Source organism: Homo sapiens, chromosome 18 (assembly GCF_000001405.40).
Source record: "Homo sapiens chromosome 18, GRCh38.p14 Primary Assembly".
NCBI classification, from domain to species: Eukaryota; Metazoa; Chordata; class Mammalia; order Primates; family Hominidae; genus Homo; species Homo sapiens.
The window spans coordinates 24,322,753-24,343,507 of NC_000018.10; the positions used below are offsets into that span (position 1 = coordinate 24,322,753).

The window sequence follows — 20,755 nt, forward strand, 5'->3', positions numbered from 1 at the left end:
CAGAAGAGAGACCTCATTTCTGGATTTGATGTCTAAAATGCCTGGCACACAGTAAGAATTCAATAAAATGCTTTTGAACTAAATGAAATAGCCTCCTAGATGGAATCTAGATGGGTTCCACCACCAGTTAAAAAATACACTATCTCTCTTACCAACCACAACAAAATAAAGTGAAAAACAGGAATGATGTAATATTTAAAAGTTTGCATGACACAGATTTGTCCCTTAATGGGAAAATTTAATAAAGATGCCAATTCTCCTTAAATTAATTTACATAGAATGTAATTTCAATTAAATCCCAATGAAGAGCCTCAGAAAATTATTTTAAATGCCTTCTGGAAGAATAAACAGATAAGGATGTCAAAGAAAATCCTTAAAAATGGTAAGGGGAAATCTCACATATTAAAACATTATAACCATTAAAAGTGCAATACTATCTTAAAAACTTTTTTTTAATGCGATACTGTCGAAAGAAGAGACAGATGAGTGAATAAAAAACAATAAAAAATACAAAAAGAGACTGGGCACCATGGCTCATGCCTGTAATCCCAGCACTTTGGGAGGCTGAGGTGGGTGGATCGCTTGATGCCAGCAGTTCGAGACCAGCCCAGCCAACATGATGAAATCCCATTTCTACTAAAAATACAAAAATTAGCAGAGACGGGGTTTCACCATCTTGGCCAGGCTGGTCTTGAACTCCTGACCTCGTGATCCACCCACCTCAGCCTCCCAAAGTGCTGGGAATACAGGCGTGAGCCACCACACCCAGCCAGGGTGAGGCTTTTTCTTTTTTTTTTTTTTTTTTTTTTATTATACTCTAAGTTTTAGGGTACATGTGCACATTGTGCAGGTTAGTTACATATGTATACATGTGCCATGCTGGTGCGCTGCACCCACTAATGTGTCATCTAGCATTAGGTATATCTCCCAATGCTATCCCTCCCCCCTCCCCCGACCCCACCACAGTCCCCAGAGTGTGATATTCCCCTTCCTGTGTCCATGTGATCTCATTGTTCAATTCCCACCTATGAGTGAGAATATGCGGTGTTTGGTTTTTTGTTCTTGCGATAGTTTACTGAGAATGATGGTTTCCAATTTCATCCATGTCCCTACAAAGGATATGAACTCATCATTTTTTATGGCTGCATAGTATTCCATGGTGTATATGTGCCACATTTTCTTAATCCAGTCTATCATTGTTGGGCATTTGGGTTGGTTCCAAGTCTTTGCTATTGTGAATAGTGCCGCAATAAACATACGTGTGCATGTGTCTTTATAGCAGCATGATTTATACTCATTTGGGTAAAAAAAAAAAAAAAAATTAGCCAGGAGTGGTGGTGAGCACTTGTAATCCCAGCTACTCAGGAGGCTGAGGCAGAGAACTGCTTGAACCCGGGAGGCGGAGGTTGCAGTGAGCTGAGATCACGCCATTGCACTCCAGCCTGGGTGACAGAGTGAGACTCCGTCTCAAAAAAAAAAAAGCTTCACCCTGCCTTTTGAATCCCAGAGAACCTGTTCTGGGCCAACAATGCACCACCAGGCTTTCCCAAGTGCACCAAACATAGTTTTGAATAGTTTTCCTTGGGCAAAGCTCCTCTTTCCTTTTGAACTTCAGCCAGAGGGCCCTCACAGGCAGAAGACTAAATTTCAGATGCTTCTGTCTTGCCCTCTCCCTCCCTCTCAATAAATTTTCTGAAAAAGTTAAAAAAAAAAAAAAAAAAAAAAAAAAAATTATATCAAATAGATAAACTACATGCATACACATAAAACAATTCCCTCACCCATAGATAACTCACGTGTATACATTGGTGCGTATTTCCAGACTCCCAATAAAAACATGAATATGAATATAAAAAAAAAAAAAAAAAAAAAAAAAAAAAAATTAGCCAGGTGCGGTGGCGCATGCCTGTAGTCCCAGCTACTCAGGAGGCTGAGGTGGGAGCATTGCTTGAATCTTAGAGGTAGAGGTTGCAGTGAGCCGAGATCACACCACTGCACTCCATCCTGGGCGACAGAGCGAGACTCTGTCTATTAAAAAAAAAAAAAAAAAAGAGGCCAGGTGCAGTGGCTCATGCCTGTTATCCCAGCACTTTCAGAGGCCGAGGCAGGCAGATCAAGAGATCAAGAGATCGAGACCATCCTGGCCAACATGGTGAAACCCTGTCTCTACTAAAAATACAAAAATTAGCTGGGCATGGTAGCGCGCACCTGTAATCCCAGCCACGCGGGAGGCTGAGGCAGGAGAATCGCTTGAAGCCAGGAGGTGGACGTTGCAATGAGCCGAGATTGCGCCACTGCACTCCAGCCTGGGTGACAGAGCGAGACTCAGTATCGAAACAAAAAAAAGAAAGAAAGAAAGAAAAGGAATTCTTAGAATGTATAAGAAAGGCATGACAAAATAATGGAAAAGGAAAGATTACTTGATAAAGGGTATAAACGTAAGGGATGGACAAGTTGAGACTCCCACATCCTAACACACACTCTCACATTCACTTTGCTGCTCAAAGCCCTCCAACCACACTCACATACCACCAAGCTCCTGCTCACAGCCAACCAGGCCCTGCAGGCCTGGGCCTCTGGCAGCTCTGATGCTATCCACTCTTCTCCAGCTCGCCCTGCTCTGGGCACACTGGCAGTTTTCCTTTTCCTCAATGTGCCACGTGTTCTTCTACTCCAGAGCTTTTACACTGGCTTTCCATTTTCCTTGAATGCTCTTCTGCCAGACTTCCTCAGGGTTCACTCCTGTACTCAACTCAGCTGTTTGCTCAAAGTTGCTTAGAGAGCCCTTCCTTTGCATCCCTTCTAAGATACCCCCCATCCTACCATCACTCTCTAGTCCCTTCATCCTATTTTATTTTCCTGCACCTCATGGCCTGACAGCACATATGCATTTATTTGTTGTCTACCTCCTCCCACCAGAATATGAGCTCAAGAGCACGGGGACTGTTGGGCTGTGTTCACTGCTGGGCCTCCAGCACCTAGGACGGTTCTTGGCACACAGTGGAGGCGCAGCATTGCTGAATGAATGAATGTGATTAAACTGGGAGGAAACAAAATTAAACATTTATCAAATCTCTACCTAAGCTAAGAAGTCTTAGAAGAAATCAAAGAGATGGATTAACCAATTTGATTAAAAATTTTAAATATCCTTGCTTTTATTTTTTAATTTTAATTTTATTTTTTTTCAGACATGGAGTCTTGCTGTGTTGCCCAGCCTACAAACTCCTGGGCTCAAGCAATCCTCCTGCATTGGCCTCCCAAAGTGCTAGGATTACAGGCGTGAGCCACCATAGCTAGCCCCTTATTTTTTAGAAAAGAAAAAAAGAAAAAAAGACTAGGACATTTTCACTCTAGAAAAAAAAACATACAGAATTGTTCTTATCACTAGACTTTTGAGTGAAAAAATTATGTTATATCCACATGAAGTACTTTCCATAAGGTGAGCCATGATGACTGTGCTTCTGGGGACAATGTGGAAAAGCTGTTGATGCTTCATAAAAGTGGAATTTTATCAGGCCAACTCTATTTACAACCTGTCAACTAAAATGAAGAGACACTTTCTGAGGTGTCTGCCAGTCCTCATCCATTCACCCCTCTCTGTCCCTATCCACATTGCCAGGAGGAGGCCTTGGCAGTCACCTCTGTACCATATGTCCTGCCCCTAAAGTCCCAAGTGACCACACTAGGCACAGACGCCTGACACAAGCAGGTACTAACACATTATCTCCCACTGAAATGTAACATTGAGGTTGAGAGATTGTGGTCTCCTGAGTGGAGTCACGGGGCAGCCATCTTCCATTATGTATCCTGGAAAACAAAACAGCTGGTCTGCTAGAAGACATGATCAGACCACGCAGTGAGAGACAGACACACAAGGCAGCCATCTGGGTTCCTAACAGTTCTCTGGTTCCCAGTTCCATCCCATCTGATGCCTAATGCCATTTCCCACTTTGGAATATCATGAGATGACTGTGTATTCGTCTGTGAGTAATGTATAACTTTTCTTTTGCTTATATTCTTGAGGTAGTATCATTACTTAAAACTTTTTAAAAAATATATGTTACTATGAAACATTAACAACTAAAACTAAAACATTAACAACTAAAAACTAAATCTTTGGACGTTTGGGTTAGAGGTGATTATATACTTTTCTAGTGCTTTTGTTTTCCTCATTGCAACTATAACAAGCATTAGTTCTACAATTTTTAAAAAATGTTCTAAAATAGGCCTGAAAATAGATTAGAAGGATGCCAAAGTAACTGTGGCTATGCTTGGGTAATTTGCGGGTTTTTTCTTTTTTCCTATTTTTGAAGAATTTCTATAATGTAAATGTTGCTCTTATGGTTTTTTTCTTTTTTCTTTTTTTTTTTTTTGAAACGGAGTCTTGCTCTGTCACCCATGCTGTAGTTCAGTGGCCCAATCTTGGCTCACTTCAACCTCTACCTCCCAGGTTCAAGCGATTCTCCTGCCACAGCCTCCTAAGTAACTGGGATTACAGGCGTGCTCCACCATGCCCGGCTAATTTTGTATTTTTAGTAAAGACAAGGTTTTACCATGTTGGCCTTGAACTCCTGACCTCAAGTGATCCACCCGCCATGGCCTGCCAAAGTGCTGGGATTACAGGAGTGAGCCACCGCACCCAGCCTTTGATTGATTGATTGATTTTTTACTTTTTAAGATGGCGTCTCATTCTGTCACCCAGGCTGGAGTGCAGTAGCATGATCTCAGCTCACTGCAACCTCCGTCTCCTGGGTTCAAGTGATTCTCCTGCCTCAGCCTCCCAAGTAGCTGGAAGTACAGGCACCTGCCACCACACCCGGCTAATTTTTATATTTTAGTAGAGACAGGATTTCATCATGTTGGTCAGGCTGGTCTCAAACACCTGACCTCAAATTATCCGCCTGCCTCAGCCTCCCAAAGTACTGGGATTACAGGCTTGAGCCACCACTCCTGGCCTGATTTTTTTAAATTATTCTCTTTCAGAAGATGCCATTCTGACTTTTGTCAAAAACAAATTAATAGCTTTAACAGGAATGTTCAACTTTGGTTACTAGTATAAACTATAGAGTAAATATATATTTGAATACCAATAGTAACTTTTCAATATTTACAAGGGAAGTTTTTTTTTTTCCATTTAGACTGGTATTTGTATGGAACTATATTAATTCTTATTTCATTTGGACACTTCTGAATCTACATTTTTGAAGGAAAAATCATTATAAAATACCACACAGAAAAACTGCTCAAGTCTTTGGCAAACTGGTAAAGACACTAGAAATCACACTTTTTTTTTTTTTTTTTTTTTTTGAGATGGAGTCTCACTCTGTCACCCAGGCTGGAGTGTAGTGGCGCAATCTTGGCTCACTGCAACCTTCACCTCCTGGCTTCAAGCAGTTCTTCTGCCTCAGCCTCCCAAGTAGCTGGGACTACCAGGTACGTGCCACCACGCCCGGCTAATTTTTTGTATTTTTTTTTTTTTTTTTTTTTTTTTTTTTAGTAGAGACAGGGTTTGTTAGCCAGGATGGTCTCAATCTCCTGACCTCATGATCCGCCCGCCTCAGCCTCCCAAAGTGCTGGGATTACAGGTGTGAGTCACTGCACCTGGCCAAAATCTCACTTTGACATCAATATTTGCTTTTGTAACTCTTAGTTTATCCTTTTCCATTGACTGTCTTCACACCTCTGTCGAAAATTAAATCACCATACTTACATGGGTTGATTTCTGAATTCTCTCCTCCTCCATGAACCTGTATCTGTCTTAGGGACACAGGGAAAGGCTCTCTGGGGAAGCAGAGTTTGAGCTAGCTCTTAAAGCAAGACTAGGGTTTACCAGACGGACAAGAAAGACAAGAGCACTTCTGGCAGAGAGAATAGTATGTGCAAGGTGAGGACAACACAGTGAACCAGAGAGCCTCCAGGACAGTTCATTATGTGTAGAGCTGCACTGTCCAATATGGTGGACAGTAATCACATACGGCTACACAGTGCTTCAAATGTGGCTAGTCCATACTGAGATGTGCTGTAAGTGCAGAAATACACACCAGATTTCAAAGACTTAGTATCAAAAAAGGAATGTAAGATCTCACTGATAATTACTGTTTACCGATTATATGTTGAAATGGCATTTTGGATATATTACTTTAAATAAAACACATAATTGCAATTGATTTCACCTCTTTTTTCACTTTTAACATGGCTACTAGAAATTTAAAATTACATATGTGACTCCCATCATATTTCTATTAGACAGTGAGAGTCTAGAGCATAACAGCCAGTCAAGCAGGGGATCTCTAACCAATTTTCTTTCTCCTTTCTACTCCTATTGATGTCAATAAAGCTCAGGTCCTAGCCAGACATAGTGGCATGCATCTGTGGTCCCAGCTACGTAGGAGGCTGAGGCAAAAGGGTCACTTGAGCTCAGAGTTTGAGGCTGCAGTGAGCAAAGATCACACCACTGCACTCCAGCCTGAGCAAAAGGGTGAGACCCCATCTCTAAGGAGAAAATTTTTAAAAGACATTAGGTGCAGTGGCTCCCACCTGTAATCCTAGCACTTTGGGAGGCTGAGGCGGGCGGGTCACCTGAGGTCAGGAATTTGAGACCAGCCTGGCCAACATGGCAAAACCCCATCTCTACTAAAAATACAAAAATTAGCCAGGTGTGGTGGCGCATGCCTGTAATCCCAGATTCTCAGGAGGCTGAGGCAGGAGAATCGCTTGAACCCAGGAGGCAGAGGTTGCAGTGAGTCGAGATCGCGCCACTGCACTCCAACCTGGGTGACAGAGTGAAACTCTGTCAAAAAAAAAAAAAAAAAGAACAGTATGATCTGCTAGCCTTATGTAATACAAATCAAGTCACTGAGTTGTCCATGGATATAACATACCAGTTAATTTTAATTACATATAAAATATATATTAACTGAATATATAAAATTAAACATAGGTACACTGGCCTGCCTTGCAATGAAGGCTAATGATTTATGACTGTAGCATATAGTTAATATTCACCTTTGCTTCCACAAATATCTTTGTATAAAAAAAGTCTCTAAACTTCAAAACTCAAATTCACCAAGGAAAGCATCTTCTAAATCTTACTATGGTAAGCTCATTTTTTAGACCGTTATTCTACATAAGGCACTTGATTTGACAGCTCCTATAATAACATTATAAATTTTAAATTGAATGTATTTTTTTATCTTAAACTGTTGTGATGGCAAAACTATTTTCCTCAAAGCTGATTGGTTATGTGGATCCACGACGGTACTTAAATGTAACCTGGCTATGCCAAGCTTAAGGCACCTTTTTATCCTGAGGCTTTTTGGTACTGAATATGATATCTGCTTGAAGAATTTTTGTTTTATTATTAAGAAATAAATGTGTCTTGCTCCTTGAAAATAAAAAGTTCAGGTCCTAATCACCTCTCACCCAAGACCATTTCAATGGCCCTGCTGTACAAGTGTAAATTTTGGGATGACCTCCGACTGCTCCCCTGGATGTGCCCTTGGATGCAGCAAACTGGGGATTTCACCTATACCTGACTTGGATTTTTCACCTTAACCTTTTCTGATAATCTTCCCTCTGCTCAGAATACCCTTTCCCAAACTCCTGCTTATCAAAATCTTACTAGATTATAATGGTATTGTTATTAACTACCATTATTATCAAGACAAAAAGGCTCAAGATAAAAAGACAATAATGGTAATGAAGGTACAAAGTAAAGTATTTAGAGATAAAACTTTTTTTTTTTTTTTTGAGACAGAGTTTCACTCTTGTTGCCCAGGCTGGAGTGCAGTGGCACAATCTCGGCTCACTGCAACCTCTGCCTCCCAGGTTCAAGCGATTCTCCTGCCTCAGCCTCCTGAGTAGCTGGGGCTACAGGCACGTGCCACCACTTGAACTCCTGACCTCAGGTGATCCACCCGCCTCGGCCTCCCAAAGTGCTGGGATTACAGGCGTGAGCCACAGTGCCCAGCCCCTAGAAATGAAAACATTTTTTAAATCCTAGTAGGGCTTCAGGATCTGTATCAAGTACCTATTCCTTTATGAAACTATTTCTTTTTTTTTGAGACAGAGTCTCACTCTGTTGCCAGGCTGGAGTGCAATGGCATGATCTCGCCTCACTGCAACCTCCACCTCCTGGGTTCAAGCAATTCTCCTGCTTCAGCCTCCCGAGTAGCTGGGACTACAGGTGCACGCCACCATGCCTGGCTAATTTTTGTATTTTTAGTAGAGATGGGGTTTCACCATGTTGACCAGGATGGTCTCAATCTCTTGACCTTGTGATCTACCAGCCTCGGCCTCTCAAAGTGCTGGGATTACAGGCTTGAGCCACCGGCCTGGCCTGTGAAACTATTTCTAATGACTCCAAACCTTCAACAAACATGCAGCCCTTCCCAGGTGTTATGTGCTATGCATTACTCTAGGTGCTGGGTGAACCAGACAATGAAGTATGAGGCCTGCCCTTAGGAGTTCAGTCACATGGGAGATAGCATCATAAGCCAACAAATACCATGGGGTGTGATTTAGGCTCTGATGGAGGTGAACGCAGGGTCCTGTGGGACCCCTGATGAGGCCTAACCCAGGCTGGTAGCAGGCAGCAGGAAGCATCCTAAAAAGTGATGTGAAAAGGCCCTGATGGCATGTTCCTCTTTTTTTTTTTTTTTTTGAGACAGAGTCTCGCTCTGTCGCCCAGGCTGGAGTGCAGTGGCGCGATCTCGGCTCACTGCAAGCTCCGCCTCCCGGGTTCACGCCATTCTCCTGCCTCAGCCTCCCGAGTAGCTGGGACTACAGGCGCCCGCCACCACGCCCGGCTAATTTTTTGTATTTTTAGTAGAGACGGGGTTTCACCGTGTTAGCCAGGATGGTCTCGATCTCCTGACCTCGTGATCCGCCCGCCTCGGCCTCCCAAAGTGCTGGGATTACAGGCATGAGCCACCGCGCCCGGCGGCATGTTCCTCTTTTAAATACCCAAGACACCTTTTATAGCTTCTTTTCTGGCTTCTGATTCTGTCTTTCAAATTGTCACACATGTACAGTCAATCCTCATTATATACGTATTCCATATTTGCATATCTGGCTATTGCTAAAATTCACTTGTAATCCCAAGGTCAATATTCATTGTAGTTTCTCAGTCATTCACAAACATGCCCAGAGTGGTGAAAAATGTGGGTTGCCCAGTGCTCATTTTCCAGCTGAGGTAGAAGAAGGTGATGCCTGGCCTTCTTGTTTCATTCTAGAAGCTCTCCTACTATAAACAAATGTCCTCGTCATGGTCTATTTAGGGTCACACTTTCCACCTTTTGTATTTTTTGTTGGTGACTTTGCTGTTTAAAATGGCCCCAAGCGGCCAGGCATGGTGGCTTACATCTGTAATCCCAGCACTTTGGGAGGCTGAGGTGGGCAGATCATTTGAGGTCAGGAGTTCGAGACCAGCCTGGCCAACATGGTGAAACCCCATCTCTACTAAAAATACAAAAAAATCAGCCAGGCATGGTACACTACAGGTGCATGCCTGCAGTTCCAGCTACTTGGGAGGCTGAGGCAGAAGAATCACTTGAACCCAGGAGGAGGAGGCTGCAGTGAGCTGAGATGGCACCACTGCACTCCAGACTGGGCAACAGAGAGAGACTCTGTCTCAAAAAAAAAAAAAAAAAAAAAAAAAAAAAAGGCCCCTAGCATTGTGCTGAAGTGCTGTCTAATGTACCTCAGTGGAAAAGGCTGTGATATGCCTTATGAAGAAAACTTTACTCAAGAGTGAGCTATGATGCTGTTGGCTATGAGTTCAATGTGAATGAGTCAACAATATGTATTAAATAGAAACAGCAAAAAAAAAAAAAAAAGGTTTCATAATGATCAATTCATGAAAATGTTGTGACCCAAGGCTTGCAGGAACCTAATCCTGTATTTTCCCCTAGGAACAATAGTTCAGTGTTCCCTAATTCAGTGCTGGTGGCAACTTTATAGAATACAGCTACTGCAAATAACAAGAATCAACTGTACTTATCTTTTCCTTGAGGGTAGGATCTACCTTTGTCATCATTTTTTCTTTTGTGTGAATGCCTTGGCTCCAAAATTAAATAGAAACCATACAGTTTAACAAAGGCTGGATACTGAAACAAAACAATTTTATATGGCATTGACTTCATTTTATAATTTCAAAATGGCCAACGATGGTTTTCACCAATATGCTTACCATTTTTGTTCTTCAGATTAGGGTCTGCTCCACTTCTTAGAAGCTTTAAGGCACATTGTTTATGGGCCCGGTAAGCTGCACAATGCAAGGGTGTATTTCCTAACTGATCCGAACAGTTAACATCAGGAGGATTGGGCCTGTTGAGCTAACAATTAAAAAAATGCAATGCAGAATTATATATCAAAGATAGACTTTCCTCTCATAATTCACAGGAGGGTGTATCAGCAGAGCCCGAAGAATAGCCAAGCTCCTTGGCATCCAGGCTGTTAGTGGTTTCTTGCTCACTAAACCAGCCAACCCTGCCACACCCATGCTTATTCTCAGATGCCCTGAGATAGATCTCAGGCCTGTGTCCGGGTCTCACACTCCTCTGACAAGAGACACTCTGCACTGTGCCAGCACCATCTCACACACCTCAGACACTAAGATTTCACAATGATTTACATGCCCCTACCAGGCTTGCAATTCATACTTGTGACAGCAGAATTACAAATCAGTCTGCCAGTCCTTCAGAAGAGTTAAAACCATAAATGTTAAATGTGTAAATGTCAAGGTTCTACTGAATTTGTTGTTCCCAACTTATTGCTTTAGAAGCTTCTTTATATAGCCTCCATTTCACAAAATTTAAAAACTGCTTTAGGTGCTATACTTAGAAACCAAAGAGGCCCTTTCAAATGAGCTGAAATAACTTTAAAGCAAATGGCAGTGCTTCAGTCATGAATTCAGAACAAATTTAGAGTTTCATGTTTAATGAGACTGTGCAGGAATGGAAGCTGGAAAGTAGGTCTTCTAAGGTGGCGGGGAACAGGCAAACCTTTCAGTCTAATGTGGTATAAGTATTCCAAAATACTGTCCCTTCTTTGCATAGTACCTTCCAGAAGTGTAGCATTCCTCCCAGAAACTACTGCTGATCAAAACTAGAAAAACTTATTCCTTTATAGGGTCCTATTTATTATGTTTCAATTGGCTTAATCACAAAATATATGTAATATATATATAAGTTGTCCTTACATTAACTATTTACCATGAAAAATCAGATTCTTATCCATCAGGTTTTCAGGGGGATTAGGGTGGGTGTAAATCAGAAATTCAGAAAAATATCACCATTTAAAATGTGTCCTGCTTAAACTATCACCATGCTGAGTGTTTTTAGATATTAAGAACTTTGGTTCTACTATTATGATCTCTGGAGTTCTTGGTTCCACAATTCAACTAAATTATTTACTTAACATTAAGTAAAAATTTTCCTGAAGTGTAAAGAAAGACTGCTTTTTGTCTTTTGGGGGTTTTTTGTTTGTTTTACCAGAGCTGTGAGTTCTGTTGTTTTGCCTTCTCTTGCTGCTGCTAAAAGTAATTCTTCAAGCTTTCTTTGTTGAGTCCTTTCTACAGCTGCAAAAGAAAAGTACTTATTATCCACTGCTAGTCAGGATCCAATTACAAATTCATTATAAAGAATAAAGTGATCATGATGAGAAAAACCAAAATGTTTTGGATTGTAATTCAAATGCAGTTAAAATTTATTGTTATTACCTTACAATTCAGATTACAGAATTCTATTTATTTCAGGTTTGGATGAATTTGGGTTTTCAATTCAGAAGTCTTTAAGTATTTTACTCACTAACAATAACCATCAAAACTAATTATGGATTACTTTTATGTACCGAAACACTATTACATATTTGCCTTGGAAAGGTAGGTAAGTGGGGTTCATACCTTCTAGAACCTTAGAATGTGAAAAATAACAAGAAATAGCACTGATAGAAAGATGTACATGTCGTATAAATATATGCAGACATACCAATTTATTTATAAATTGCCACATAAAAATATAAAATTTATGTATGTATGTATATATGTTGAGAAAGTCATCTGTCCATAACTTTAGCCAGGATGACCTGAAAAACCTTTTATAATTCCTCCTTTGCAGCCTCTGCACAGGACATTGTAGATGTATATTTAGTGGGATCACCAAGCCTGTCATCCTCTCGCCCAGGCTGGAGTGCAGTGGCACAGTCATAGCTCATTGCAGCTTCAAACTCCTGGGCTCACACAATTCTCCTGCCTCAGCCTCCCAAGTAGCTGGGACCACAGGTGTGCACCACCACACCTGGTGAATATTTTTATTTTTTGTAGAGATGGGGGTCTTACTGTGTTGCCCAGGCTGGTCTCAAACTCCTGGCCTGAAGCAGTCTTCCTGCATCGACTTTTCAAAGCACTGAGATTATAGGCATGAGCCACCTTGCCTATTTTTATATCTTTAAAAATACTTTGGCACTTACTACATGCCAAGTGCTATTCAAAGCTCCTTAAAAATACTAACTCATTAAATCCTCATTAACTACTCTGAGGTAGGTGTTGTTATTATATTGATTTTTACAGACAAAGGAACTGAGGCACCAAGAGGTTATGGAATTTAACCAAGGTCACACAATCAGAGTGGAGGAGCTGGGATTTGAACTCAAGCAGGCTAGTTCCAGAGTCCATGCTCTTATCACTACGCTTCCTCTGAAGTCATACTTACAGGAAAAGAGCAACTGGCAATCCGATTTGTGTGAGAGAATGGAATATGTCGGTAAGATCTAATTTCTGCTAGATCTGAATTCTATTTTGGTTTATAGAAAGGAAGCAATTTCAGAGAACGACTTGGTGATCCCACTAAATATACGTCTACAATGTCCTGTGCAGAGGCTGCAAAGGAGGAACTATGAAAGGTTTTTCAGGTCATCCTGACTAAAGTCAAGTCATGGACAGAGAAGCAGGTTGGGGAGCCAGGTGACTGGGGAAACAGATGAACATTTGTTAACAGTAATCACTATGTGCTAAATGCTGTTTAAGACTCTACACGTACCATTGCATTTAAACTACAGGGAACACATGTATTGAATCCAGCAACTGCTGAAATTAGTTTACCTTTGTCTTAAGAAATGACTAACATTGCTATATACCATCATCTTCTTTTCCCACATTTTTATTTCCACACCCAGACTCTACCTCAGAAGACAGCCAAGACTCTCTGTAGACTGTCCATGGCTTCTGCTGCTGGGATGCACTACCTTCAATCTTTCCTCCCACTGGTTCTATGGCTGCTGAACTAGGAACTCTTTGAGAACAGTGACATCTCCTATACCTCTCGTACATACCTCCACCACTGCATGTATCACCCTGACCTGTAAGTTATCCCCTCTGTCATTCTTGAAGTCAGGTACTTGTTCTTATCTGTCTGTGTAACCAAAGCATTTATGACAGCATCTGGCACGATGCATAGTTGGTCAATAAATACGTGTTGAATATTCAAATAATGCTTAATGTTTGTCCCAGGTTTTAGGGAAGGAAAAGAAAAGATACCCTATTGTTTCTTTCTAGGTTGTCTAGGCTCATAAATGAAGGAAAAGGGTCAGGAATATGGAGTTGAAAATACTATATATGTTCTTAGATTATGTTCCTGTCCTGTATTCTTTCAGGACACTGAAATAAAACTGCTGATTACATCAATGAAAACAAATATTCTAGTCTGGGTGGTCAGGCTTCTAGAATGCTCGCAATGTTGATATGGATGCTGTTTACAGAGATGTGTTCTACAGAAATCGTTCTAAAGGAGCTATACATTCATGATGTGAACTTTTCTGCATATACTTTATATCTCAATAAATATTCCTAAAGCAAATGCTACAAATCCAAAAAATATTTGTCCTATAAGATTTAAATTTAGTATCACTCTAAACTGTCTTTCTTTTCCATCAGAATCAAGTTAGTGAGGATCTTAGAGGTCACAAAGTCTACCTCTGTCCTGACTGATGCTTACATACATGCAGAGAATAGGCTGAATAGTAGTACACTTGAAATGCAGGAGAGCACCTGGAAAATATATTTCATTCATGATAGCAAAACATTACTTTGCAACCACTAGAGTAATCAATGATTAGGGCAAATATTATCCATGAATGCTAAAACCACTGAGTAGAAGTTTAGTGGTAAATGGGGTATTTACTTTGTCTCAGTTTTTCTCCCTGCAGGTCATTTATTAATTACAAAGGGAAAAGATGCCTTTACAGTGGACCACAAAGTGATCAGAGTTAACATCACCAATAATGAAACAAAGTGACATTATGTGCCTCCTAATAGGATGCACTGGCATGGGATAGAAACTCACCTACATAATGCTTCTGACAGAAATACATATCCTGAATCTAATCACAAGAGAAAAACCAAAATCAAGGGCCATTCTACAAATAATTCCATAACCGCTTTCCTCTTCAAAAAGGTCAATATCGGCCAGGTGGCAAGGCTCACGCCTGTTAACCCCAATACTCTAGGAGGCCAAATTAAGAGAATCACTTGAGGCCAGGAGCTCCAGACCAGCCTGGGCAATATATTGAGGCCTTTTCTCTATCAAAATAAAATAAAATAAAGTAATACATAATATAAACATAACATTAACATAACATAACATAACATAACATAACATAACATAACATAACATAAAGCCAGGCATGGTGGTGCATGCCTATAGTCCTAACTACTTGGGAGGCTGAGGCAGAAGAGTCGCTTGAGCCCATGAATGCAAGGCTTCAGTGAGCTATGATCACACCACTGCACTCCAGCCTGGGTGACAGAGTGAAACTCTGTCTCAAAAAAAAAAAAAAAAAAGTCAGTATCAAGAACAGGGCTGAGGAATTGTTTCAGATAAAAGGAGATGAAAGGGATGATGTCACAATTAAATGCAATGTGGGATTCTGGATTAGATCCTAGAATCTAATCCAGGATGGGAGGGGAAAATGCTACAAAGGTCATTATTTGGACAACTGGCTAAATCTGAATATAAAAATATATATTATATAATATTATGTTAATGTTAATTTTCCTGAAATCGAGCACTATATTTTGATTATGTAAGAAAATAATCCTTGTTCTTAAGAGATACTGAAGTACTTAGGGGTGAAGTATCACTATGTTTGCAAATTACTCTCAAATAGTTCAACAAAAAAATTAAAAGTAAATAAATAACATAAAATATGTAACAGTCTCAACCAGATATGGCAAAATGTTAATAATTGGTGAATTTGAGTGAAGGACATACAAATGTTTACTGCAGTATTCTTGAAACTTTCCCATAGATTAGAAATTTTTCTTTTTCTTTCTTTTTTTTTTTTTGAGACAGAGTCTCACTGTTGGCCAGGCGGGAGTGCAGTGGCGCAATCTCGGCTCACTGCAACCTCTGCCTCTCGGGTTCAAGTGATTCTCCTGCCTCAGCTTCCTCAGTAGCTGGGACTACAAGCACTTGCCACCATGCCTGGCTAATTTTTTTTTTTTTTGTATTTTTAGTAAAGACGGGGTTTCACCGTGTTAGCCAGGATGGTCTCGATCTCCTGACCTCATGATCCACCTACCTTGGCCTCCCAAAGTGCTGGGATTACAGGCATGAGCCACCGTGCCCGGCCGAAATTTTTCAAAATAAAAAGACAAGATGTAGAAGAAGGCTGCGTTAGTAATAGTGCCTAACAATAGTCTATCCTTTGCTGAATACCTCCCATCATGTATCTTTCAAGGCAATCCAAGTCATTATTTCTATATATCGGACCCAAAGATAAACTCCCTGCTACTCCATCAACTAGGCAATCAAACAGCCCTGGTTTGGCCACAAGTAAGATCATCCCTTCTCCCAAGTAACAGCTCTCAGGTACTTGAGTATAATTTCATTGTGCCTGCCTATGTCTCTCTTTCTAGGGTAAAACATTTCTTGTCTCTCCATGCATTATCCTATGACATGGTTTCTTTTCTGTTTGTTTTTTTGAGACGGAGTCTCACTCTGTCACCCAGGCTGGACCACACTGGCACAATCTCGGCTCACTGCAACCTCCACCTCCTGGGTTCAAGCAATTCTCCTGGCTCACCCTCCTGAGTAGCTGGGACTACAACTGCCTGCCACCGTGCCCAGCTAATTTTTGTATTTTTAGTAGAGACGGGGTTTCACCATCTTGGCCAGGGTGGTCTTGAACTTGTGACCTCGTGATCCACCCGCCTCAGCTTCCCAAAGTGCTGGGATTACAGGTGTGAGCCACTGCACCTGGCCCTCCCAGGCTAGAGTGCAGTGGTGCAATCAGCTCACTGCAACTTCCGCCTCCCGGGTTCAAGTGATTCTTCTGCCTCAGCCTCCCGAGTTGCTGGGATTACAGGTGTCCACTACTACGCCCAGCTAATTTTTGTATTTTTAGTAGAGATGGGGTTTCACCATGTTGGGCAGGCTGGTCTCAAACTTCTGACCTCAAGTGATCTGCCCACCTCAGCCTCCCAAAGTGCTGGGATTACAGGCATGAGCCACTGCGCCCAGCCCCTATGACATGGTTTCTGATCTATTTATGGTCTTATGGTCTACTTATAGTGGGTTACTCAAGGTACTTCCAGTAATTTGCCAATGATCCATTTAACACTCTATCCACAAATGTTATTATATGTGGGTAAGGTGCTCTCATTAGAGCAGAATCACTCAATTCAGTCTCTACTTCTGTTTCCCAAGCTAAGACCACATCAGCTGACAAATCATATTACCTGTAAAGTCAACTAAGCCCTTTTTCTTGTGCAGTTTGAGTTTGGAAATGTCTTAGAGCATGTCTTTACAATTGCCCTTATTAAATGTCAACTTGTCAGACTAACCTAACATTCCAGTCTGTCAGGAAAACCTCAGTTCTGGGTTCTCTTCTTGTTATAATTAAAATGACAGGACATAATTAAAGACAGTACCTCATCCTCCCTATTCAGTCACAAATTATTAAAGGGCAGGAACCACAGCTAATATGTTCTCCACGTTACTAAATTCATATAACACAGTGTCTGATAGAAGATGTTATGTGTTAATTTGCTTGTTCATTGATAAGCAGAGGGTTCATTTTGAGTGCAGAAACAAGACACTGACCTTAAGAAGTCTGACAAGTAGACTTTGTGTTGTTTTTTAAACTATAGAATGAGTGAGAAGATTTTAGCTCTCAAGACTAATCGGGGTAATAAACAGCAGGATCTTGGTTTTTACATAAATAAAAATATTGAAAATTTAAATTAAGAAATCAACATCCTTTAAGTACAAAATTATATTGCCTTTCTCTGAATTCCAAAGGAAAGAAAGGCTATGTGTGAAATTGCAACTCTAATTCAGTACCTTTACTCATTAAGTAGAAAATTAAAGATCTTCTCTTCTCAACATTAGAAATACTACTAAAAAATAATTATAGGAAAGCCCTGGCCATTCAAAGAAAGATCCTATTGTATGAGGGTGCCCAAATGCAAGCATCAAAATGGTTTTTGTTTTAAATTGCTTTAGAGAAAGTCCTGAGTTATTGTAGACTCATGTTTTCTTAAATGCAAATTAGTCTTTGACATTCATAACAATGAAGCTCAACCATCAAGAAATTACTGCTGCCTGGTATATTGCAATGAAGTCCTCAAGAAAACTGAGAATACCAGGCACAGTGGCTCACACCTGTAATCCTAGTACTTTTGGGAGGCCGAGATGGGAGGATCGCTTGAGACCAGGAGTTCAAGACCAGCCTGGGCAACATAGTGAGACCTCATCTCAATAAATAAATAGCGAGCCAGGCACGGTGGCTCAGGACTATAATCCCAGCACTTTGGGAGGCCAAGGTGGGAAGATCACCTGAGGTCAGGAGTTCAAGACTAGCCTGACCAACATGCTGAAACCCCGTCTCTACTAAAAATACAAAAAGTTAGCCGGGTGTGATGGTACATGCCTGTAATCCCAGTTACTTGGGAGGCTGAGGCAGGAGAATCGCTTGAACCCAAGAGGCGGAGGTTGTAGTGAGCCAAGATCATGCCACTGCACTCCAGCCTGGGCAAAAAGAAAACTGAGGCAGCCAGAGCCAACATCAAGTGACTCCCAAAAGCAACACCTCTTACAGGTTGCACTGCCACCTCTTACTGTCCTGCACTTCTGTATCCCTTCATTGTCATGTTTCATCAGTCTATTAGCCACATTCCCTCATGTCTCTAATTTTCTACTTTGAATTTTGTTGAGTATTTGAAAAACAGATATTTTTTCTGAGGCCCAAAATACAAACTTTTCGGCTGGGGGGTCTCACTCTGTTGCCTGGACCAAAGTACAGTAGCTCAATCAGGGTTCATTGCAGCCTCAAACTCCTAGGCTCAAACAATCCTCCTCCCTCCGCCTCCCAAGTAGCTGAGACTACAGGTGCACACCATCATATCCACTTAATTTTTAATTTTTTTAAAATTTTTTGTAGAGACAGGGGTTTCGCCATGTTGCCCAGACTAGTCTAGAACTCCTAACCTCAAGTGATCCTCTTGCCTCAGCCTCCTAAAATGCTAGGGTTACAGGCGTGAGCCACCGCACCCAGCCTGAAAAACAGATTTTTAAAACTTGCCATAATTTTGTACAAATTAAGAGTTTAAAAGCTTTAAGTGAAGAAACTATCATATAGATAATTGTGTGTTTAATCAATGACTCCAAGATGACATTATCATTAGAGCATCAGCTGGTTATCCTCTGTTTTGTCCTCTTTCTCAGAAGCCATTTTTAGTCAGAACCTTGGTTATAATGAAAGTAAATGCTGTTTATGTTCACATCCATGATATTTACCTTCAAGCATGCTTCTGATTTCTTCAGCATGAGTAACTTCTTTTGCTGTCTGTCCACTCCCATTAACAATAGTAGTATCAGCATTATATTCTAAGAGAAGCATTACCAACTCCTAAAAATCAGAGAATTTATTTTTAACTATTAAGCTAAGATTTTATTGCATTACCACCCTTTTCCAAATTACTAACTACTACAGAGTCTCCACAATAGAAAAAAGCACCAGGTGAGAATGTATCACGTTATGTCTATAATAAATGAGTGATTCAACTAATTGTGATAATACTTGACAACTGCCTAAACAATTGCCAATCCACAATTGATACATAGCCAACTTCTATAATTGATTTTTATGTAAACTATCTGGCTGTTTTGCCAAAATAATTCATGTGGTCAAATTAAATGTATTAGTAAACAAAGCCAATATTCAAATTAGAGAAGGAAGTACATTCACTGAAGATCATTCCTCTAAGGCCTGTTGAGAAATATAATTTCTGCCCAACAGACCAAGATTTTTAAAAATTAATCTTGATATTTAAACAAAATAAAGCATTATTTTCTAAAGTGATATACCATTATTGACTGATGGGATACACCATTATTGAAGGAATGGTTTATAATGAAGCATTATCATTAAGCATTAGATAAGCACGACAGTCTCCTGGAGTCAATATTCAACAATAGATAATATATTACATATTTTTATTTACTCTAAGTGGCTAGCTGCTCTTATGGAAATTTCAAATGATAATGTACATACGTCCAGTATCACTGGGCCAGTTATACAACTTAACAAGACAGCAGAAATGGAGGAACAGAATTTCTGATATTGCGGACAGTATTAGAAATTTGATGTTTGATTATCTTATGATACACAACACCTAGGGAGGGGATGATGGCAATGCTTGCTCTTCAGTCTTGCACTAAGGGAGGCTGAAAAACTGTGCTGTTCTAACTTCTAGACTGACAGTGCCTGTAAAATATGAAGTGATATCCTGTGTTGCTACACGTTATGCTGTCCTAGGAATTTCATCTTTCCTTTGGGCCATGACGTCCATTTCCTACATTCTTTTAGAATGTTTTCATAGCAAAAAATGCTTAAATAAAATCTAAAAAACATAAACAGGCAAAAAATACATATACTTATTACCCTCATCATTTTATGACCACTATAAACATTTTGGCATATTTCTTACTAATCAATTTCCCTAGGCAAAATTTGAGTTTTCGTAACATGATTTTACTTACATGCCACAATTGTTTTATAGCTACATTTCCCAGTACAGTACATGGTGTTTACACATTTTTCATATTTGAGTATTATTATATAAAATGTACTACCACATTAAAAAAACAGGAAAATGGTTTTTTAAAATATCCTAATATTTTAATAAAGTGAATTCTTATAAAATATCTTAACATTTTCTATCATCTTAAAGGTAACATTTTGGGGCTCATGTTTTCATGCTTTACCTAAATAGTTCATATTAATTAAAGAAAGTAGAGTAACCCACAGAATGAGAAAAAAAAATTTACAAATACAAGTCTCTTGACTTGTATCCAGAATATATAAAGAACATTTACACCTCAATAATAAAAAGACAACCCAATTAAAAATGGGCAAAGACAACAATGAACAATCCAAAAAGGGAAACCAAGAAAAACAATTCTATTTATAGTAGCATCAAAAAGAATAAAATGCTTAGGAATAAACTTAACCATGAAGACAAAAGGCTTATACACAAAAGACTCAGCACAAAACACTGCTGAAAGAAATGTAAAATGACATAAATAAATGGGAAAACATCCAGCGATCATGGATGGAAAGACTTAATATTGTTAAGAGGAGAATACTACCCAAAGCTATCTACAGATTCAATGCAATCCCTATCAAATACTAACGACATTTTTACAGAAACAGAAAATCCCATCCTAAAATTCACATGGAATTTCAAGGGACCCCA

At 40.1% G+C, this 20,755-nt stretch overlaps 1 protein-coding gene and 1 long non-coding RNA gene across 3 annotated transcripts in view; one reads left to right on the forward strand and one right to left on the reverse strand.

The window, feature by feature from the left end:
* OSBPL1A (oxysterol binding protein like 1A) overlaps positions 1–20,755 on the reverse strand; it is a 235,780-nt gene that overhangs the window by 160,708 nt on the left and 54,317 nt on the right. For both annotated transcript variants that reach the window (XM_017025530.2, NM_080597.4), the window contains exons 5-7: positions 18,795–18,906; positions 11,493–11,578; positions 10,190–10,334 (exon numbers count right to left, since the gene is read on the reverse strand). In XM_017025530.2, the coding sequence (XP_016881019.1) occupies positions 10,190–10,334; positions 11,493–11,578; positions 18,795–18,906 (343 nt within the window). The remainder of the gene's footprint in view (positions 1–10,189; positions 10,335–11,492; positions 11,579–18,794; positions 18,907–20,755) is intronic.
* LOC124904267 (uncharacterized) overlaps positions 3,843–20,755 on the forward strand; it is a 33,436-nt gene continuing 16,523 nt past the window's right edge. Inside the window, exons 1-2 of the long non-coding RNA XR_007066312.1 lie at positions 3,843–3,983; positions 13,174–13,358. This is a non-coding gene — a long non-coding RNA (uncharacterized LOC124904267). The remainder of the gene's footprint in view (positions 3,984–13,173; positions 13,359–20,755) is intronic.